At 49.3% G+C, this 22,334-nt stretch overlaps 1 protein-coding gene across 7 annotated transcripts in view, besides 4 other annotated features; it reads left to right on the top strand.

The window, feature by feature from the left end:
* THBS2 (thrombospondin 2) overlaps positions 8,086–22,334 on the top strand; it is a 38,062-nt gene continuing 23,813 nt past the window's right edge. For 5 of the 7 annotated variants that reach the window (NR_167744.1, NR_167745.1, NM_001381939.1 and 2 more), the window contains exons 1-7: positions 8,086–8,208; positions 11,126–11,199; positions 12,959–13,515; positions 15,651–15,735; positions 19,974–20,170; positions 21,340–21,480; positions 22,237–22,333. Coding sequence is in view for 5 of the 7 variants with exons in the window: in NM_001381939.1 (NP_001368868.1) it covers positions 11,148–11,199; positions 12,959–13,515; positions 15,651–15,735; positions 19,974–20,170; positions 21,340–21,480; positions 22,237–22,333 (1,129 nt within the window). In the remaining 2 variants the exon portion in view is untranslated. Of the gene's footprint in view, positions 8,209–11,125; positions 11,200–12,530; positions 13,516–15,650; positions 15,736–19,973; positions 20,442–21,339; positions 21,481–22,236; position 22,334 lie in introns of those variants that run through there. The other 2 variants (NM_001381942.1, NM_001381941.1) reach the window with 2 other exon arrangements.
* Positions 8,500–9,011: an enhancer, noted in NCBI's record as "OCT4-NANOG-H3K4me1 hESC enhancer chr6:169653016-169653527 (GRCh37/hg19 assembly coordinates)". NCBI's record gives its function as "activates a minimal SCP1, AML or CMV promoter by ChIP-STARR-seq in primed H9 embryonic stem cells {active_cell/tissue: H9 hESC(primed)}" and the evidence as "EXISTENCE:reporter gene assay evidence [ECO:0000049][PMID:30033119]".
* Positions 9,012–9,524: an enhancer, noted in NCBI's record as "OCT4-NANOG-H3K4me1 hESC enhancer chr6:169652503-169653015 (GRCh37/hg19 assembly coordinates)". NCBI's record gives its function as "activates a minimal SCP1, AML or CMV promoter by ChIP-STARR-seq in primed H9 embryonic stem cells {active_cell/tissue: H9 hESC(primed)}" and the evidence as "EXISTENCE:reporter gene assay evidence [ECO:0000049][PMID:30033119]".
* Positions 10,037–10,550: an enhancer, noted in NCBI's record as "NANOG-H3K4me1 hESC enhancer chr6:169651477-169651990 (GRCh37/hg19 assembly coordinates)". NCBI's record gives its function as "activates a minimal SCP1, AML or CMV promoter by ChIP-STARR-seq in naive H9 embryonic stem cells {active_cell/tissue: H9 hESC(naive)}" and the evidence as "EXISTENCE:reporter gene assay evidence [ECO:0000049][PMID:30033119]".
* Positions 20,850–22,049: an enhancer, noted in NCBI's record as "P300/CBP strongly-dependent group 1 enhancer chr6:169639978-169641177 (GRCh37/hg19 assembly coordinates)". NCBI's record gives its function as "activates an origin of replication core promoter dependent on BRD2, BRD4, P300/CBP, MED14 and CDK7 cofactors, with strong dependence on P300/CBP, by STARR-seq in HCT116 cells {active_cell/tissue: HCT116}" and the evidence as "EXISTENCE:reporter gene assay evidence [ECO:0000049][PMID:35650434]".

Here is a 22,334-nt window from a genome sequence, read left to right as displayed (position 1 = left end):
GGCCATTGTAGGTTATTAATTGGCTTAATTTCAATATTGTTGCATCTCAGGGAAGAGGGAGGCCGGAAGAGAGGGAGAGAGATGGAACGGCCTTCGGTGGGGAAGTGAGAGCACACACAATCCTCATCGATTTTGTTCGCCATCTTACATGGGTGCAATTGTTGATGGCCCCAAACAATTAAGGTAGTTAACACTGAAGGCCACTGATCACAGGTCACCAGCACAGACAGAATAATAATAAAAAATGTGAAATAGCATAAGAATTACAAAGCATGACACAGAGCCATGAAGTGAGCACTTGTTGTTGGAGAAATGGCACCTGCAGACTTGCTACAGACCTTCAGTTTGTAAAGATGCAGTATCTGTGCAGATGCATTTCCTGAAACTTCCATTATTCCAGAAGTTTCTAAAGTGGTCGTGCAGTCCCAAAGATCCCCCGTTACAGTGGGAGTCCCTAAAAGAGATAGAACACTCTGAGCCCTGTGATTAGAGACAGACTCTGAGTCCAGGGAGCAGATGCCTGCGGTGCTGATAACGTAGGGAGGAGGGAAGGCAGACAGAGGACAGCGATTTGAGAATGGCATGAGAAGGACCGTGAGCTCTGTGCGCAGTCCTGGCCATGAGCATTCCCGTCAGTGACCAGTGCCACAGAGGGGACAGCCAGCAAACTCGCATCTGTGGCAGTCTTGGAGGCAAGGTCAATGTGTGTGATGAAGGGGCAAAAGGTCTCAGCAGGTGGAAAAGGCAGCCCAAGCTAGTCATCCAAATGGCCCATGCAGAACAGGAGGAAGGCAAGCTGGGCCAGATCAAAGTCTCCACAATCTGGAAACCAAACTCCCCAAATGGAGGGCAGGTGAATGTAGGGGCTGAGAGGCAAAGAGGGGAAGTGAGGGAGACATTCAGTGTCTGAAACACCGGCACTTCCAGTCCAGCAGGGAAACAGGCATGACCCAGGAAATAAGGGGCTCTTGGGATAGGGAGGATGAATTGGGTGTCCAGGCAGCTCAGTGCAAGAGGATGAAGTGACACACATCCACCTGCTCAAGCATGACCTTCACTCCAGGCATGACCTCCACTCCAGGGATGTCCTCCCTCCACTCCAGGGATGACCTCCACTCCAGGGATGACCTCCCTCCACTCCAGGCATGACCTCCACTCCAGGGATGACCTCCCTCCACTCCAGGGATGACCTCCCTCCACTCCAGGCATGACCTCCACTCCAGGGATTACCTCCCTCCACTCCAGAGATGACCTCCCTCCACTCCAGGGATGACCTCCACTCCAGGGGTGACCTCCCTCCACTCCAGGCATGACCTCCACTCCAGGGATGACCTTCCTCCACTCCAGGGGTGACCTTCCTCCACTCCAGGCATGACCTCCACTCCAGGGATGACCTCCCTCCACTCTAGGGATGACCTCCCTCCACTCTAGGGATGACCTCCACTCCACTCCAGGCATGACCTCCACTCCAGGGATGACCTCCCTCCACTCTAGGGATGACCTCCACTCCACTCCAGGGATGACTTCCACTCCAGGGATGATCTCCCTCCACTCCAGGGATGTCCTCTGCTCCAGGGATGACCTCCACTCCAGGGATGACTTCCACTCCAGGGATGATCTCCCTCCACTCCAGGGATGTCCTCTGCTCCAGGGATGACCTCCACTCCAGGGATGACCTCTCTCCACTCCAGGCATGACCTCCCACCACTCCAGGCATGACCTCCACTCCAGGCATGGCCTCCCTCCACTCCAGGGATGACCTCCACTCCAGGGCAGGGGATAGGGGGAGGGGGCTTGGGCTATGCCCACAGGAAGCCTGGGCCATGAACGCAGCCCCTGGGCCTCCTGATGTGGAGCGCATGGGCTCAGGTCCACGCTGGGTTTACAAGGGGAGTGATGGCTGGGCAGGTGAAGAAGGGGGCCACACAAATGTCCGAGAAGGCCCTGCCACGTGCCTTGGAATGTTTGCACAACACCTGGGAAAGGGAATCTGTGGTGTCCGGGACATAATTAGAATTTATGCACAACAGAAATGAGCAGAAGATTCCTGCTCACCCCTTACGGTTACCTGTGAGGTAGGGGGCTCCAGTCACACAAGACACAGAGCATCAGCTGATGACCACAGTTCCATGAGGCTTAGTGGGAATTCAATTAGGCAGCAGGCCAGGCTACATAGGAGCCCCAAAGGGCAGGGACCTGTTTATGCCTCATGTGTACTGTGCTGTTTGCAGTGTCTGGGATGTGTTAGGTGCCACAGATGCTCAATGAGTAATTTTTGAATAAATGGATGAGCAAATGGAGCCTCAAACAAATCGACAAAGTAGCCCCCATTCCTTTTCCTGTGTATGCTCCAAGTCAGTGCAGCTTGGGTGGAATCAAAGCCAGAGGGACTGGCCTCAGCCCTGGCCCTGGGAATTCTGGGCCCCTCTCCAGGGAAGGATCCTGGTCCCGAGGACCCAAGGGTCGACAAGGCGAGGCCAGAGCCAGGACCTTTGATTTCTCCTCTGTAGAATGAGTGTGACAACAAACCCACCCCAGGGTGGTGGCCAGGATAACAGTGCCCTGCTGAGTTACAGTCACTAAAGTCTTGCTACTCCAAGCGTGATCTTGGAGCAGGGGAGCTTGTTCAAAACCCACCATCAGATTCCCCAACCCCACACCTACTGAGTCGGAATCTGCCTTTGGGCCAGGCCCAGTGTCCTGTGTGCGCATTCCAGGTGGAGAAGCCGTGCAGGGGAAGTCTGTCTGCTTGTTCTTTTGATAATTTTAACAAGCTCCAAGCAGCGCCCATCCGGCAAGTATCCCCAGATCACCTTGGGGTGCTTAGAAAGCAGGTTCAGGCCAGAGAGAAGAGCAAGGGGAGGTGATATAAAAACCTCTGAGTCAGAAGGGCTGTGACGAGTGTGCCTGGCCCTGGTCCCCAGCCCGTGCTCTTTTCTTCAGCTCAGGCCTCTGCACATTCAATGTGTCCAGTTGCTTTTCAACCCCCCTGCGTCACTGTGAAAGGAACAGAGCCACACCAGGATTTGCTGTTTCTGACGCAGTCCATGCACAACCTGACAACGGAAACCACGGTTCAGGGACAGGAGTTTCTGGGGCAGAAGGGAGCCCTCTCCCTCACCACACCTGTGGTTCAGCTCCAGCCAGAGGTCCATGCCCTAAGGCTCTGTCTGCCCCTTCCTGCCTTCCTCTTTCCAGTGGCCTCACCTGTCTCCTGCCCATGGATTTAAACATCATCTCTAATGAAGGATCGCCCAGGCTTTAGACTCATCCATCCGGCTTCCACTGAAATATGCCCATCGGATATAATACACTCCATTGATAAGAAAGCAGAACAGCCTTATTGCTGATTGATAGGGAGAAAGTTTGAGTGTCCTGGAGAGAAAATCAAACCAGCCACAACATTCTCTGAGGCCAAAGCCTAATCTAAGCAAAGCTCTAACTCTCTTCAATTCTGTGAAGTCTGAGAGAGATGAGGAAGCTGCAGAAGAAAAGTTCGAAGCTGGCAGAGATTGGTTCATGAAGTTTAGGGAAGAAGCCATCTCTGTAAGACAAAAATGCAAGGTGAAGCAGCAAGTGCTGATGGAGAAGCTGCAGCAAGTGACCCAAAAGATCTAACTAAAATCATTGTGGAGGTGGCTACACTCAACAGCTGATTTTCAATGAAGACGAAACAGCCTTGCATTAGAAGAGGCCATCTCCAACTGTCATAGCTACAGAGGAGAAGTCAATGCCTGGCTTCAAAAATTCAAAGGCCAGGCTGTCTCTTTTATTAGAGGCTAATGCAGCCGGTGACTTCAAGTTGAAGCCTGTGCTTATTTACCAATCTGAAAATCTTTAGCCCTTAAGAGCTATGCTAAAGGTATTATTCTTATGCTCTTTAAATGGAACAACAAAGTCTAGATGACAGCAAATCTGTTCTCAGCATGGCTGACTAAATATTTCAAACCCACTGTTGAGACCTACTGCTCAAAAAATGATCTATTTTAGAATATTACTGCTCTTGGTCAATGCACCTAGTCACCCAAGAACTCTGATGGAAATGCTCAATGAGATGATGTTGCTTTCATGCTTACTAACTAACACAACATCCACTCTGCAGCCCATCAGTCAAGGAGTCATTTGGACTTTCAAGTCTTACTATTTAAGAAATACATTTCATGAGGCTATAGCTGCCATAGAGAGTGATTCCTCTGATGAATATGAGCAAAGTCAACTGAAAACCTTCTGGAAAGGATTCACCATTCTAGATGCCACTAGTACATTCATGATTCACGGGAAAAGGAAAAATATAAACACTGACAGGAGTTTGGAAGAAGCTGATTCTTCCAAACCCCACCATGAGGGATGACCCTGAGGGTTCAAGGCTTCAGTAGAGGAAGTCACTGAAGATGTGATGGAATGAGTGAGAGAGGTAGAGTTAGAAGCTGGGCCTGAGGATGGGACTGAATTGCTGTACTCTCATGATAAAACTTGAATGGATCAGGAGTTATTTCTTAAGGATGAGCAAAGAAAATGATTTTTTCAGATGAAATGTACTCCCAGTGAAGATGTTGTGAAATGCTTCACTCCTGGGGAAGATGTTGAGATGACAACAAATAATTTAGACTATTACATAAGCTAAGTTGAAAAAACAGCAGCAGCATTTCAGAGAATGGACATCAATTTTGAAACAAGTTATTGTGTGAGTAAACTGCTATCAAAAACCATGATATGCTACAGAGAAACGTTTTATAAAAGAGTCCATAGATGCAGCAAACTTCATTGTGGTCTTACTCTAAGAACCTGCTACAGACACTCCAACCATCAGCAACCACCACCCTGATCAGTCAGCAGCCACCAGCATTGAGGCAAGACTCTCCACCAGCGAAAAGATGACGGCTCATTGAAGGCTCAAATGACGGTTAGTAGTTTTGAGCAATGAAATGTTTTAGAATTAAGATATGCACATTGTTCTCTTAGACATAATGCTATTGCACCCTTAATAGACAATAGTGGAGTGTAAACATCCCTTTTATATGCACTGGGAAAGCACAAATCCATGCAACTCACTTTATTGCAGAGGTGTGGAACCGAGCCTGCGGTATCTCCAAGGTGTGCCTGTATTAGTTCCCTGGGCCCGCTATGATGAAGTATCACAAACAACACACATGTATTGTCCCATGGTTCTGGAGTCCAGCAGTTTTAAATGCAGTGTGTGGCAGGGCTGCACGTCCTCGGAATGTTCTGGCAGAGGCCCCTTCCCTGTCTCCCACAGTTCTGGTGTTTCTGGCAGCCCTTGGTGACCTTGGCTAGTGGTTGCATCACTGTGGTCTCTGCCTCTTTCATCAAGCGGAGCTCGCCCTGTGTCTCCGTCTTCATATTCTTTATTCTTATTAGAACACTAGCCATTAGATTTGGAGCCTGTCCTACATCAGTTCGACGACATCTACACTTGATTTCATCCACAAGCACTGTGGTATTTCCAGTAAGCTCATTCACAGGTTTGGGGTGGATGTGAACTTGGGGGGACATGATTCCACCTGCTGCGTGTCTGTCCCTCATCCTCCCGCGCACACATGTGATGATGCTTCCCTCAGCATCGCTGGCTTTCCTGACGAAGCCTCTGACTGCTTTTTGTTTCATCCTCACATCTCCCTTCCTCCTCACCCCCAGGGGGCCCAGGGAAGATGCTGACCAGGGGCTGTCCCCTCTACTCCCCCTCTGGTCCCCTGCACAGTGGGCCCATGAAGTCCCGCCTCACCCTGCCAGGAAACTCTCTGTGACTTCCATCGTCTATGAAGCCCATTCCATGCACCTGGCCTGGGTGCCGCACCAGGAGCCTGCTGTTCTTTGCACCATGAACACCTACCCACTCTCTCTGCCTGAAATACTTTCTCAACTGGGGACACCCCATTCACGGGCCATGTTCCAATCGGCTTACCTTCTGTCTCCTCTAAACAGACTTCCCTGATTCTGGGCTGCCAGATTTTACAGAAGGAGGCCCATCTTCTCTGTACCTGCCCATCGGCACGTGGAGTCATGAATACATACCTTCCTGCTCCCCAGTGAGTGTCACGGTCTTCACCGCATGCTCCTGAAGTGCTGAGCAGCTGAGCTGCCTGTCTTCAGCTTTAATCAGGAAACACGCATTCTGTGGACTGAGGAACAGGAGAGGCCGTGGCACGCAGAGTAGGGGATGCCGCCCTCCATGTTCTGGCCCCAGGAAAAACTAACCTGGAGGCAGAAAAACTCAAACTGATGAATGGATAATTATCCACTGAAAATTCTTTAAGGGGAACTGGTTTATACTTTTTTTGAATTTGAGATAACATCAATCTATTTAAACTACTTTTTAATTCAAATGATGACTTTGTCCCTAATAGCTTAAAAAGCAAAATAACGTACCTTAAACATGACACATACACTCTTGGAGGCTTTTGTCTGTGCATGTGTCGGAAACTGATGTTTGCCAAGTGATAAATAAACAGGTGCCATTAGGAAAAACAGAGGTTTTCACAAATGAAAGCTCCTTCCCTCTCCCACACCCGCTCGCATATCCTCCCTGAAGACAGAGGCCAGAAAGTGAGGCTTGCTCTTCATGGTGCCTGCCGACCTCTGCAGCGCTGGACCCCTGTGGGGGAATGCCAGGAGGCTTAAGAGACACTCCCCTGCCACAGACACAGTAAGGGTTGTGTCCACAGAAATTCGCTTTAATGTTCTCTAACTAGGACTTGACGGATCCATGGCCAGGCTGACAACTCCACACAAACGTGAAGGAACCTGACAGGCAGGTGCCGACATGAAGCAGGTGCAGGTGGCTCCGGGCAAAGCAGCAGCTCCCCAGTCACCATCCACCCCACCTGGGGAAGTAGCACCTCCCCCATCCAAGGTCCACCCCAACCCAGGAGAAGCAGCAGCTCCCCTGTCTGCCATTAACCCTGACCTGGGAGAAACAACACATCCCCAGCCACCTTGCACACTGACCTGGGAGAAACAGCCTCTCCACCATCCACCTTTCACACTGGCCTGGGAGAAGTGGCACCTCCCCCATCCACTGTCCAGCCCAACTTGGGAGAAGCAGCCCCTCCCCCATGTACCATCAACCCCCACCTTAGAGCAGCAGCTTCCCCTTTCCACTGTATACCCTGACCTGGGAGAAGCAGCCCCTCCGCATCCATCGTCCACCCTGACCTCTGAGAAGCGGTGCCCCCCACCCCCATGCAGAGTGCACCCTGATTGCGGGTGATGCCTGAGGTGTGGGAGGGGCGGGGGTTAGCTGCTGCCACTGCTTCTCGTTCTCTCGAGTCCTTGCTCTGTGCCTGCACGTCAGGTTGTTCCTGTGATGGGGCCACGTGCAAGTGTGCACCAAGGGGACTTGGCCGGGTACTGTACGTCCACTGGGACACACCCTTCTACGGGTATTGCACGTCCACTGGGAGACGTCCTTCTAGGGGATCCTCACTGAGCAAATGAAGCAGAATTTGGGTAAAAATGAATTTTCCCAAAGCTGCAGTACAGCTTTTCAGTCCTCTAACTGCCTGAGATAAATGTTGGCAACTTCCTTTTATATTAAATTTCATTTTTGTCACATAATACACTTGATTATTGACCATAATAACTTTATTAATATACAGACTGATTATTGATACTCACCGATGTATTTCATGTGTTATTGAGAGTCACTCATTTGGTTTAGAAAGACCAATATCACATTGAGTAATTCGAAACATATTTAAGGCATAGAACTTGCATTTTTTTCTCTTAAGCAAAATGAGGAGTTCTAGCCAATCTTGCTAGTGTTATTTATAGCATCTTATTTCCTGAGAGAAGACAGGAAAAGTGAGTCCCTGCCTTCCCTCTCTCCGTCTGGCTCCTCCCAGGCCTGTCTGGCAGGGGCCGGGGTGCAGGAGGAGGAGACGGCATCCAGTACAGAGGGGCTGGACTTGGACCCCTGCAGCAGGTACTCGGAGCAAATGGTGAGATCAGAAGGGGGATGATGTCATTCCTTCGAAGGAATGAATTAAACGTGCTTCCTCGTGTGTCTGATTGACAGCCCTGCACAGGAGAAGCGGCATATAAAGCCGCGCTGCCCGGGAGCCGCTCGGCCACGTCCACCGGAGCATCCTGCACTGCAGGGCCGGTCTCTCGCTCCAGCAGAGCCTGCGCCTTTCTGACTCGGTCCGGAACACTGAAACCAGTCATCACTGCATCTTTTTGGCAAACCAGGTACGATTATTTCTTAAACTCAATCAATTATTTAATGGTGCTCTAATTTTAAGAAATTAGAGTTCTCGAACTCTAAGAAGCGGAGAAGAAAAAGGAGCAATTTCGATTCTTAACTTAAGGTGGGTGGTGTATCTATTAACACTAAATGGCAAGTGTTTCTTCACGTGGTGTTTCTACTGCCCGCTTGAAGAGCAAGGCACGTGGCCGCTCCTCAGCTTTTCCTCCGTGGCTGTGCTTTCACCAGCCGGGCACCCCTTCCTCTCTGAGGGTTGTGGCTGCTGCTATTTCAATGTATATACCTGCCTGGGAACCCGGGTAAACGCTTTATGTTTTCAGTTTCCGAAGAAGAAGATTCCACATGAGAGTTTGTTATTGAGGAGAGAATTAGAAACAACTCCCGGAATATCTGAAAAGTAACTGGAGATTAGAGAGAGACTCTGATTGTTAACATCATTATTAGTAGATTAGAGAGAGACTCTGATCGTTAACATTATTAGTAGATTAAAGAGAGACTCTGATTGTTAACATTATTAGTAGATTAAAGAGAGACTCTGATTGTTAACATTATTAGCAGCTGAAAAGTGGTTTTGAACATAACTAGAGAGTATTTGTGGTAAGTCTATGGAAAATCCTGTGACTGCCGGGACACACAGCGACTTTTAACAGTCTTGGGGCAGTTTGCATATGAAAAGCGAGCTGGCAGGTTGCCTGGCTACCACTTAAGGAAGGTGGGTTTGGCTGCCCAGGACTGGGAGCTGAGCACCCAGGAGTCTGGTGTTTAATCAGACTGCTGTTGGTGGTGGACGGCCGGTAAACAATTAGCTCTCTGCAAAGCTATCTTTTACTTTGATTGTTCATACGAAAAGAGTTTTAAAAGACCTTTGCAAATTCAAACTACATTCTGCTGCAGACAGGCACCGAAATCTTTCTTTTGGAAAAACACAAGCATAAACGTGGATGTGTGGCGTGCAGAGGCTGGGGCAGGGGTGAGCGGCACTGGCTCATCCGTGGCTCCATCCATGCATGCCCGGTGTCCCTGGATGGGCTGAGGCCAGGTAGCCTGGCTGCTCATCCTTCCTGTGGGATGGAGCCTCACTGTCCTTTGACAATCCGCAGCAGGGGATGCTTTGTTAGCCTCCTGCTCTTGTAAGAATCTACCTCAAGGCAGAGACAGTAGGATCTGGTTTCGTCAAAGGAGTTTGATTTAGTTTTTCTAACCTGTCCTTATGAAGCTGGGCATCCAGAACTTTCGCATTTACCATCCTGTTCTTGGCTGGCCTCTGCAGGGCCAGCCCCACACAGCTGTCCTTAGGGGACTGCGACGTACCCGGCAGTGTGGGCTGATGAGGTGGGGAGGTGGGAAGAGCCTGCCAAGGCTGTACCTGAGCTGTGTATTCTAACACCGTTCTGTGGTGCTTACTGCATGCAGGTACTGTTCTAAGCTCATGGCCAAGTGTTCGCTCCTGTCATTAAACCCTCTTAAGAGCTCCATAGAAAGGCCCTATCAGCACCACCATTATTACTGCAGCTGCCTCGGGCAGTTAGAGTAGAAAGCGCCCCAGACCCAGAGGCACATTCTGCTCCGGTAACCCATGCCTGTGGCTCGCTGGGCTAAGTCAGCCCCTGGTGAAGTTTCATTTGCCGAATTCATCTCTCATGACAACCCGATGAGGTGGGCATTTTACATGACGCTACGTTTCATTCTACGGATGAGGAAACTGAGACAGAGAAGTTAAGTAAGTTTCCCTAGGTTGCACAGCTGGTGCTCAGCATTGCTCAGCCTGGTGCTGACTCCGGCCGCAGGCCGTGCTGCTTCCGGAGCCAGGACAGATGAAACAATCACCAAGGACCCCTGGGGCGGCACTGGGGGGAGCAGATGGTTTGGGGGGGGGGTCCCAGCAGCAGATGGGTGGGGGGTCTGCAGGTGCTGCCAAGCATTTCTCTTCTTCTGAGGAATGTTTCTCTATTCCTGGAAGGTGAGGATTTCCAGGTTACCAAATGTTGTTTCTGGAGAGGGAGAGTCCTTGGATTAACAATGAGAAGTTAACGGCCTTTGATATTCTAAATATGGGAAGAATTGGGGTCTCAGTCTTCCCTTCAACCTAGAGCAGGGTGTGACCAATTGCTGGAAGGGACCTGGGGAGCCCTGGGACCCTCAGGCTCATGCTCGCCCGGAAGAGGAGAAGCTGAGATCCACAGGGTTAATCGCCCAGCCGGGCTTTGGACCACATCTCCTGACTTCGGGGCCAGCCTCCACTGAGCTGTGCCAACTTAAAATCCCCAAGAATGGAAAAACAGGCCTGCAGGAAAATAAAGAGGCAGGGTCAAAATGATGGCTAAGTCAAGTGTTCTGTTGTTTTGTAAGTATAATTCACCAAATTAAGTTTATTTGTAACTTTTTTTTACAGTTGATATTCATTCTATTTAATTAGGTTATGCATAACTGTTTTTTGCTGGATATTTACACAAAATGCGTTCACAGATTATTTTTGTCAGGCTGGATATTTTTCTAAATTCAAACTTTCTACATCTAAGTCCTGTCTACGAGTCGTATGAACAGAATTACTCCAGGCAAGCGCTGAACTTGCCCATCTTCCATTTGCTCATCTGTAAAATGAGGACAATTAGAGCAGCACATACCTCCCAGGCTATTATGAAGATGAAATAATAGGAATATTTAGAACGTGATGTGCAGTGCTTGCCGGCAAATGCTAGCTCAACAAATCTTATAGTTAGAAGAATCCTGCTTGAAGAGTAAATTTCCTCCTTCGCTCTCAGTTTGCCACAAATCCAGTTGGTGCTGAGTTTTATATGCAAACTGTTATTCAATGGTCATGTGAGTCACTGGGCCAGTCTCGCTCACAGGCAGGGTTGCAGCTGTGGACTCATCACTAACAAGGGTTTCCTGTATTCCCAGGAGCTCAGCTGCAGGAGGCAGGATGGTCTGGAGGCTGGTCCTGCTGGCTCTGTGGGTGTGGCCCAGCACGCAAGGTGAGTGTCCTCAGAGCCTGTGGTCTCTCTCTGGCTTGTGAGATATGGCTTAGCTGCAAGGGGAGAGATGACAAAATAAAGTGTGTGGTTGGACAATCTTACCCGTGAGGACCTTCTAGCTCCTTTATAAATCAAATAGTAACTTACTTCTGAGCCAATATGACATGAGATAATTTATCTTTGGAAAATTCAGGTGTTAGAGAAAAATGCAATTCCACCTAGAGTTGCACAGTTTATCCTTTTTTCTATAGAGGATGTTCACAACACTGCAAGTATTTGGTGTTTGTTGAATTCTTTTTGCTCCACTTTCTTCCTCCTTTAAATATTTTCCCATGTGTTTACTTTTCTACAGTATGATTTTTAATGACCACATAATATTTCATCACAGATAAAGCCTGATCTTTTTCAATCAATTCCCACTTAGATTGGTTTATTTTCATTAGCATAAATGATGACACAAAAAATATTGACGTGGATAAATCTTAAGTAGCATTTGTGATTATATCCTTTGGATAGGTTACAAAATTAGAATTGCTGAATCAAAGCTTTTAATTCTTGCCAAGTAACTCTATGGAAAGTGGTCCATTGCCCACTTCTGTCAGCAACCCTGTGTATTATCCTGTTCTAATTTGCTAAATATTAGATGAAAAGGAAGGCTTTGGCTAAACTTTCTGTTCAGTGTATTACTTTTTTTTTTTTTTCTGGGACGGAGTCCTGCTCTGTCACCCAGGCTGGAGTGCAGTGGCGTGATCTGGGCTCACTGCAAGCTCTGCCTCCCGGGTTCACGCCATTCTCCTGCCTCAGCCTCCCGAGTAGCTGGGACTACAAGCGCCCACAACCATGCCTGGCTAATTTTTTGTATTTTTAGTAGAGACGGGGTTTCACCACGTTAGCCATGATGGTCTCCGTCTCCTGACCTCATGATCCACCCACCTCGGCCTCCCAAAGTGCTGGGATTACAGGTGTGAGCCACCGCGCCTGGCTTTGAATTATTTAAACTATTATGATTTTCGTGAGATCTGATCACTTTTCTTGCCAATAGCTTAGGTGGTGACTTAAAACCATTTGTTTCTGTACTTGATACTGACCACTCTTTCAGATCCTTACCCACAGGGTGCATTAAGAGTTGGAGAATACATTTTTACAAAATAACAACCTGCTGACATAACTGGTTTTAGGCAGTTGATCTCAACAAGAAAGCAACATACGATTTAGCCGCTTTCTGACACTCTATCAATAGCAAGGCTAAAGATCCATGTCTTTCCCAGTTTATTCATTTATTTGGTTTTTTCCTGAGCAATCAACTGGTAGACAGGATGGCTGCTTTTCAGCCTCAGATCTGAGATGGAAGAGCCAGACAGAGTGACCTGGGACATGTGCCAGGATGTCAAGCGAGGCCGGGATTCCCTCACCAAGAAGGTCGGGCTATGCAAAGGGCCAGCTGAACGGACAGGGCGCTGCCTGTCTCCACCGATTTACCTTCTGGCACACGCTCCTCGACCAGCCAGGGGCAGAAACTGACCCCACAGACCCGCAGCTGCGTTGGGCCCACACTCTGAGTAGCGGCACTGGCACGGAGGATAGTGGCTTTTCATCAGAGGTGGCTCCAGGATTCCCATAAAAAAGGGAGAGAAGCTGCGGGATATTGGGAGGCCTCGTTAATTTCCTTACACGCGAGGTTCTGGTTTGTCACCCTGGGTCAGGCCAACCTCGCCCTCTTCCCCTACGTCACCCTTCTCCACTGCGGTTCCCTTTGCAGCTGGTCACCAGGACAAAGACACGACCTTCGACCTTTTCAGTATCAGCAACATCAACCGCAAGACCATTGGCGCCAAGCAGTTCCGCGGGCCCGACCCCGGCGTGCCGGCTTACCGCTTCGTGCGCTTTGACTACATCCCACCGGTGAACGCAGATGACCTCAGCAAGATCACCAAGATCATGCGGCAGAAGGAGGGCTTCTTCCTCACGGCCCAGCTCAAGCAGGACGGCAAGTCCAGGGGCACGCTGTTGGCTCTGGAGGGCCCCGGTCTCTCCCAGAGGCAGTTCGAGATCGTCTCCAACGGCCCCGCGGACACGCTGGATCTCACCTACTGGATTGACGGCACCCGGCATGTGGTCTCCCTGGAGGACGTCGGCCTGGCTGACTCGCAGTGGAAGAACGTCACCGTGCAGGTGGCTGGCGAGACCTACAGCTTGCACGTGGGCTGCGACCTCATAGACAGCTTCGCTCTGGACGAGCCCTTCTACGAGCACCTGCAGGCGGAAAAGAGCCGGATGTACGTGGCCAAAGGCTCTGCCAGAGAGAGTCACTTCAGGGTACGCTCTGCAGGGAGGTGGCCGCCGTGAGGGAGGAAAGAGCTTAGCTGGGAACTGATCTGCTAATGCGTCTGGTGATGCGATGCTTGAGCAGGCAGAGCCTGGCCTTAGAGAAGCACACTGCACATCCCGGCATGTGCTCACACACATGCGTGCACACACCACATGCACATGCACACACTGCCCACCACACGCAGCCACAGGCATGTGCACACATGCACACACACCACACACACACACAAACACACATGCTCACAAACACATGAACACACATCCAAAGACATATACACAAACACTGCATATGCACTCACACTCGCATATGTATATACATCACACATGTACACACACCACGCAACACACACACACAGACACGCACACACACACCTCACCACATACACATGCATGTGAACACACCCTCACATATGCATGCCCATGTGCACACAAACACCATACATGGGCACGCACATGCAGACGCACATAAACACCATTCATACACTCATGTGCACACATGCACACCACACAGACATACATGTGAACACACACATGCACACACGTGCACACACCCTACGTGGGCACCCATGCACATACACAAATAAACACCATGCATGCACTCACATTCACAGACGTGTGCACATACCACACATGCACACACACCACACACATACATGTGAACACACTCATGCATGCACATGTGCACACAACCATATGTAAGCACTTATACATGTGTGCACAAAACAGGTGTGCACACACCACCCACAGCCATGCAATGCACGCACACCACACACATGTGAACACACACATACACACGTGCACAAAAGTACCATACACAGTCACACACATCACATTTACATACCTACACAAACACCATACATACACTCACACATCCCCCACACATAAACACATGAACATCATATAGATGCATACACAGAACCACACATGTACACACACATACACATGCACAAATGCACACATACTCATACACACGTATACATACACACAAACACCTCATGCAAACTCATGCATGCACATACATCCATCACACATGTGTATACAAACAGGCACACGTGCACACACAATGCATGCAGAGCCACAGGCAGTTGTCAGCACATACGTACTTTCACACAGGCACTCACCCTTTCACATGCAAACACCACATACAAGCGCACACACACACAACGCACGCCTTTCTAAACCACGATTAATCAGAGAGGGCTGCCCCAGGTGTGCTTCCCTAACTGCACTAATTATCGTCAGTTGAGATTGAGGCTGGTTTGATGATCAAGGAATCAACCCTATTCAAATGTTTCTAGCAATCCCAGACTTTTTTGATCACAACCAAAACCACTCCTAAATGTTTGCTTTAGTAGCGAAATGATGGGAGAGCAAAGTAGCAGGTGCCCTTTTCCAAGGGAAAGGGCTAGTGATTTATGAGGGAATGGTTTCATGTCCATTTTGGTTAAAATATGTTTGGAAATGAATCTTAAACTGCAGGTCTTTAGAATCACAATGGTGTATGGTACATTGCTCCCTCCCGGACGTGTAGGGCCTTGGAAATAAGTACATGGTTAAACTCAGTAATTTGAGTAAAAGGTCTAGAGATGCATAGCTTGTTGTTGAGTCAATTTCTCATGGGTGTCCAGGAGTTCCATACCATATAGGACTGGCCCAGCCCCGTCATAACTCAGCTGCGGAAGGCGCTCCTGCAGGCCCAGGGTCTGTGTCTCTGAGAGGACCAGTGGGACTCTGTGAGCCTCTTTGCCAAATGCAGAAACTCGCTAATCATGAGTGACTTGCAAGGAACGAATGGCCTTGAACGTCCATGGGAACATGCCCAGAACACACAGCAGGCCACACCTCTCCAAGGGCCATCTCACTCTTATTTATGAAACATTTCCTTCTTCTAGGTAGATTTCTTACATTACACTTCCATTTCTTGTGTCATGCTTAAAAACAAAATTTCAAAAGTACTATATACAGAAAAACTGATTATAAAGAGATTGCAAACCTGCTACGTAGAAGGAAATACTCTCACTACTTGAAGATTCCAACTTGTATTTTTAGAATGTCAGTTAGCTTGGCATCAAACATTGGATGTTTATCTGTTGCTCTATTTTTCTGCTTGTGTATACTTACAGGGTTTGCTTCAGAACGTCCACCTAGTGTTTGAAAACTCTGTGGAAGATATTCTAAGCAAGAAGGGTTGCCAGCAAGGCCAGGGAGGTAGGTGTGTTGTGAAAAATGCATTTTATATACTGGCTTGGATGGATTTCTATTGTGACATGGTGTATGTGTGTGTGTGTATGTGTGTGCATTCATGCTTGTAAAAATTTAAGTAAAAATATTTGGGTAACTACCACTATTGTCTTTGAGTGACTTAGCTGGTCAACTTAGACATGTTGATATCTGAAAATAATAAATTGATTAAACAGTTAATTTTAAGTAGATTTTAATCATCCAAATAATTTTATTATAGAAGACAAAATATAAATAGCTGGTGCTTTAATATGAGTTGAAATATAGACAACTTTTCCAGTATATTAATGTGTGATGCTTGTCTGCCTAAGGAAAGTCATAGATATTTGTCGAACTTGACTTACAGAAGTTTTCTTTTTTTTTTTTTTTTTTGAGCCAGAGTCTCACTCTGTCACCCAGGCTGGAGTGCAGTGGTGCGATCTGGGCTCACTGCAAGCTCTGCCTCCTGGGTTCACGCCACTCTTCTGCCTCAGCCTCCTGAGTAGCTGGGACTACAGGCACCCGCCACCACACCCAGCTAATTTTTTGTATTTTTAGTAGAGATGGGGTTTCAGCGTGTTAGCCAAGATGGTCTCGATCTCCTGACCTCGTGATCTGCCCACCTTGGCCTCCCAAAGTGCTGGGATTACAGGTGTGAGCCACCACGCCCGGCCTAGAAGTTTTCTTATACTGTTCATAGTTGTTGACTCCATCATATGATGGAAATCTATGCTACTTAAATCATTGACAGATGATCTCATCTTTTCTGTTAGTTACAATTGTGAATCATATTTCCAAGCACACTTTCCAATATTTTCTTGAGCATTTAATTCTGAAGGTCACTATGACAGGTTCATTAAATGCCGTACATCATCTAATCTTCAGAATGACTACGTGAGATGGGCACTTTCACTTTCTTCATTTTACAAAGATGAAGGCTGGCACCCAAGGGAGTGCTGTGTGGCTGCCATGTTGAGCTCCCCAGTGAGCAGGGAGCAGGGCTGCTGCCTGGGTCTGTCTGACAGCCTCAAAGCGGAGCTCACGTCTGCCACACGGTGTGGCCGTGTGCACACGAAGGCCAGGCCATTTCAATTCCAAATTATGACAAGCGTAAACTGTTATGTCATGAATCTATACATCAGGAATATGTGAGATTTGGTATCTTTGGTGCACAATGACTCTGTGATCCCACCGCCTACTTCAGAACCGGGGTGCGTAGCCCACTCTTCAGTTACACTTTGCAGGTCCGGGTCCTTGTGCACGTCCTGTGAGGAAGGAGAACAAGGAGACATTTGATCATCAATGCAGGGAGAAGGGTGTTCTAAGACCAACCCTCATTCCAGCTCCAACTGTCACCCCCACCACGACCCTCACTGTGCCTGTTACCTGAGGGGTGATTTGCAGCACAGGCAGAGTTATCTTGGCTCCAGCACTCTGCGTGCCAGGGCCTCAGCTTCATGAGGCAGTGCTCTTCTGGGGGTTCCTGGGGTGCAGTTGGCTGTGGGGCTTTTGGGTACTTTTTGTTGCAATAATGTTTTTTCAGTCTGATATATTTATATGTATACGTGTGTGTGTGTGTGTGTGCGTGCGTGTGTATTTTCACTAATATAGAAAAATATTGTTTTTATAAACAAAACATATATGCAAATATTCTTTGTATGAAAGAAAATATACCCTTCGCGGTGTTCCTAATCACATGTTTGTACTATAATTTCACGTGGGTTCAGTTAAACTAGAGCTAAGGTTGTCCATGGCATGTTGAGTCAGTTGTCATAATGGTCAGTGAGTAAAACTAACCTACTATGACAAACGTGACTTACACCTCTATGTGAGCAAACACCTTGTGTGTGTGTGTGTGTGTGTGTGTGTGTTACCAGCATACACCCTAGTAGGTGCAGCCTCCTTCAGCAGGTATTTCCTAGGCTCACAGGTACAAGTCAATAATCCCTGGAACTATCAAAAGCAAACCTTTAAAACTTATGGGAAACTCTTAGATCTTCCAAAAAAAAAAAAAAAAAAACACAGAGAAATCTAGATCTGTTATCTCCAGATGTGTAGAATAAGTATGGATCTATATACATATATCTACCGGACCATATGTGGCAATCACCCATGAGTTAGTCTACTCAAAGCCAGGTGGATGCCAATGTCCCATTTGGAGATCTTTGCCAACACAACAAAGACTTCTTCTTCACTGGTTATGTCAGACTTAAGGAAAATTGGTCTTATACAAACAGCTAGTTCATGGATTGGTTCTTGGTAATGACATCCCCTTTTCCACTGTTTGTTAAAAGTGAGAGTAACCTTGTGAAGAGGCTGAGCCATTATTATTTTACAACTGAGAATACTGGCAGAAGCCTGGAGAAATGCAAGTTAGCTGGAAGGTTTTACTACCAGGTAAAACTACATTCCTGTCAGAGCCAGAGCAGAAGCAAAGATATATGCGGTCTTTTGTTTAACTTTTAGAGGAATGAAAAACAAATACCCTAGGTTAGTTAAAGATTAGTGTGCTGGGTAAAATCCACTCAGGGTGGTTTCTTTGTCTCTATTAATGTGTTGATATTGACCTGATTGTACATGGTTATGGGCAACATGAATCCGAGGGGAAGCTTCTGAGCTTAGTATGAATTGCAGCACAGTTTATAACCAAGTGATTAAAAACTCAATCACGGAATGCCTGACAGCGCTGTAAAATGTCTAAGTCTTTCCTCAATAATGGACTGTCCGAGAGAAGTCAGGCATTTCAAAGATGGGATCTTCACCCCTGAGAGGGAGCAGGGTCCTACATGGGGGTGAGGTGAGCTCCGGCCTAGAGCCTGGGCCCTGACTGCAACTGCGCAGGCCCCGCTGACCTGAGGACTGGACCCCGCCTCCGTCCCTGACTCGCCTCAGGTCAATTTGTAAATTACATGCCATACCCACCCAGGTCCCACGATCTAGGGCTTCAGAGGGAGTGGTGGGAATGTGGAAAGGTGGGAGTGGTGGGAAGGTGGGAGAGGTGGGAAGGTGGGAGAGGTGGGAATGTGGGAAGGTGGGAAGGTGGGAGCGGTGGGAAGGTGGGAAGGTAGGAGTGGTGGGAAGGTGGGAAGGTGGGAGCAGTGGGAAGGTGGGAAGGTGGGAGTGGTGGGAAGGTGGGAAGGTGGGAGCGGTGGGAAGGTGGGAAGGTGGGAATGTGGGAAGGTGGGAAGGTGCGAATGTGGGAAGGTGGGAAGGTGGGAGCAGTGGGAAGGTGGGAAGGTGGGAAGGTGGGAAGGTGGGAGTGGTGGGAAGGTGGGAAGATGGGAGCACTGGGAAGGTGGGAGTGGTGGGAAGGTGGGAAGGTGGGAAGGTGGGAGCAGTGGGAAGGTGGGAAGGTGGGAAGGTGGGAGTGGTGGGAAGGTGGGAAGGTGGGAGTGGTGGGAAGGTGGGAAGATGGGAAGATGGGAAGGTGGGAAGGTGGGAGCGGTGGGAAGGTGGGAAGGTGGGAAGGTGGGAGTGGTGGGAAGGTGGGAAGATGGGAAGGTGGGAAGGTGGGAGTGGTGGGAAGGTGGGAGTGGTGGGAAGGTGGGAGTGGTGGGAAGGTGGGAGCGGTGGGAAGGTGGGAATGTGGGAAGGTGGGAATTTGGGGGAAGGTGGGAAGTTAGGAGCAGTGGGAAGGTGGGAAGGCCAGGAGGAGCAAGGCACAGTCTCAAGGGGACTGGCTGTTTGAGCAAGAGGATAGTGAATTTTCTTTAAAGCAGAGCAAGGAGCCATAAGAAAGGGTGTTTGGGGATGAAAAAAAAAGGATGAAGAGTCGAGAGGAGCCGTCAGAACATATGGGGGATGTGTTCAAGAAGCAGATTTGTGGTCGGAAGCTTTGCAAAGAGGGGACCTGGGTCTGAGTGACATGCGTGGCCACTGGTGCTCCTGCGTTTGGACTGTGCAGGCCTCTCCTATGCTGATGCGTCTCCCCACTCCTGAGCTAATTTCTGCTCTGCTCCTTCTGTGACATGTGGCAGCGTGGGAAATAGCCACTGTCCCCTGTCCCTGCTGTTCCTGGTGTCACCCAGCACCAGGCCACTCTGGGAGCCAGGGCAGATGGTCCTCCCTGTGGTCCTGGCCTCTGCTGCTGGCCCAGTCCTCCGCCTTGTGTCTCCCAGCACCAGGCCGCTCCGGGAGCCAGGGCGGGTCATCCTCCCTCTGTTCCCAGCCCCTGCTGCTGGCCCCGTCCTCTGTGATGCTCACGGCCCTTCTACGCTTGCCCTCAGCTGAGATCAACGCCATCAGTGAGAACACAGAGACGCTGCGCCTGGGTCCGCATGTCACCACCGAGTACGTGGGCCCCAGCTCGGAGAGGAGGCCCGAGGTGTGCGAACGCTCGTGCGAGGAGCTGGGAAACATGGTCCAGGAGCTCTCGGGGCTCCACGTCCTCGTGAACCAGCTCAGCGAGAACCTCAAGAGAGTGGTGGGTACTCACGCAGGGGCCGCGGGGGTCATAGGGCATGGGCAGCTCCGCCGCTGGCCCATCTCAGCAGGTATCAACATTCCCTGGCTTGGCAGTGCCTCATGCTCGATGTAAAAACCCACAGTTCACAGGGGAGGTGTCTGCCGGGCTCCTCAGGATCCTTGCTCAATATTCAGCATTGTTAGAGGGAAGTTGGGTAGATCTTGGGAAGTATTCCCAAGGAAAACAGTCCTGGGCACAGTCTCCAAAATAAATTCTTAATTTTGGGAAATTTACCTCCTTGGTAAATCTGTAGGTATGAGTGTACACACACACACACACATACACACACACATACACACACATACACACACACACACACCTGCAGAGGAAAATAATTTTATTTCAAGGACTGCATGTTGGCATAGCTGAAGAGGCAGGACGGGAAGTTCCTGTGAGGCTGGCAGGAGTGAAATGGGTTTGAGCGGCACAGCGCGGCCAGGAAGAGAGAGCGATGCCTGCGGGGCTCAGGACGGGCAGCTCGCAGTTTAGAGAAAGGGACTGAACATAATGAGGTGCTCCGGGCCACGGTGCCCCACAACATACACATGGCTAACCAGGGTGCAGTGATGCTGACTGTCACTCGTACCCAGAGGGCATGAAGTAAATGATGCCAGGAGATGGAGCCCAGGGCAGGGAGGGCGGCAGGGGCAGGAGTCCGGGGCAGGGAGGGCGGCGAGGGCAGGAGCCTGGGGCAGGGAGGGGGTCGATGGCAGGAGACCGGGGCAGGGAGGGTGGCGAGGGCAGGAGCTTGGCTGTATCCCTGCCTGTCGTTATGGCTGCTGCCTGGGGACCTAGTTCCCACCCCAGTCCCACCTGGCGTCCCCAGTCGAAGGAGCCCCAGCGTTGCTCTGCACTGGTCCAGGTGTGATGTGAGCCACGCGATTTCCGCTCTCCAGGAAGGCAGGTGGATGGGGAGCCCCAGAAGCCCAGGCAGTGACGAAGCTGTGGCTCAGAAAGCCCCGTGAGGATGGAGGACAACTTCCGGAACTTCCACCCAGGGATGAGTCAAGTCTTACTTGACTTTAGAGCTTTTTAATGAAGGAGGAACTTTGTTTTTCATCCACAAGCATGATGACTAAATATGTAGTATTATTGTCTACACTTAAATGTTTCACTTGATTTTCCAGTCGAATGATAACCAGTTTCTCTGGGAGCTCATTGGTGGCCCTCCTAAGACAAGGAACATGTCAGCTTGCTGGCAGGATGGCCGGTTCTTTGCGGAAAATGAAACGTGGGTGGTGGACAGCTGCACCACGTGTACCTGCAAGGTGAGGCCCCAGAACACGGCTCTTGGGGGAAGAGGCCACCATCGGACACTTGGCAGAACCTGACTGCCTGGAAATGCCAGCGTTCAGTGCTGATGTGTGAAACCGGTTCAGCTATGTGAGGAAATTTCAGTGTAAGAAACACAGAAGGGCCAGGAACCGTATTTAGGACTTGAATCAACCTCTTTGTTTGCACATAAAGAACCAGAGCCCAGAGAGGGGGAGCAACCTGGCCAGCGTCCCCAGTTGGTTAGAAACAGGAGGAACAGAGAAGCCAGACATGGCCCTAGACTCTGCATTTAATTCCATCCGGTTCCAACAGAGCCTGAGGCTCAGCAGAAACGTTTGGGGGAAATACAAGCCACTGCCTGAAGTCTTACAGACAGACAATTTAGCTTTTAATGTTACTCTATTTCTGCTGACAATGGCCTCAGCATTACCTTAGATAACAGGAGTTCCTGCTGCCCGTCTTTTCTTCCCTCCTTCCAGGAAGCTTGGAGCTCTCTGTTGCATCCTTGCTGCTCAGTGAAGGGAGAAAGGAATGGAATGGATGCAAAGAGCCATCTGGGGGCCCTGTTCTTGTTAGGCTGTCAGCACTAATGGGAGAAAAAGATGCCCTTATTTTCACATCTCTGTAATGTATGGTCCGTAGGATGGAAAACATTCAGCCATTCTGTCGACCCCTTCTAGTCTCAGCCCTTGTACCAGCGTCCCCTCCTTTTAAATGAGTGTTCCATGCATGCCTTTCTTCACTTGTAGAAATTTAAAACCATTTGCCACCAAATCACCTGCCCGCCTGCAACCTGCGCCAGTCCATCCTTTGTGGAAGGCGAATGCTGCCCTTCCTGCCTCCACTG

Source organism: Homo sapiens, chromosome 6 (genome assembly GCF_000001405.40).
Source record: "Homo sapiens chromosome 6, GRCh38.p14 Primary Assembly".
Taxonomy (NCBI): Eukaryota; Metazoa; Chordata; class Mammalia; order Primates; family Hominidae; genus Homo; species Homo sapiens.
Note: the sequence above shows the minus strand (reverse complement) of the source record. Positions and strands in the feature narration are given on the sequence as shown.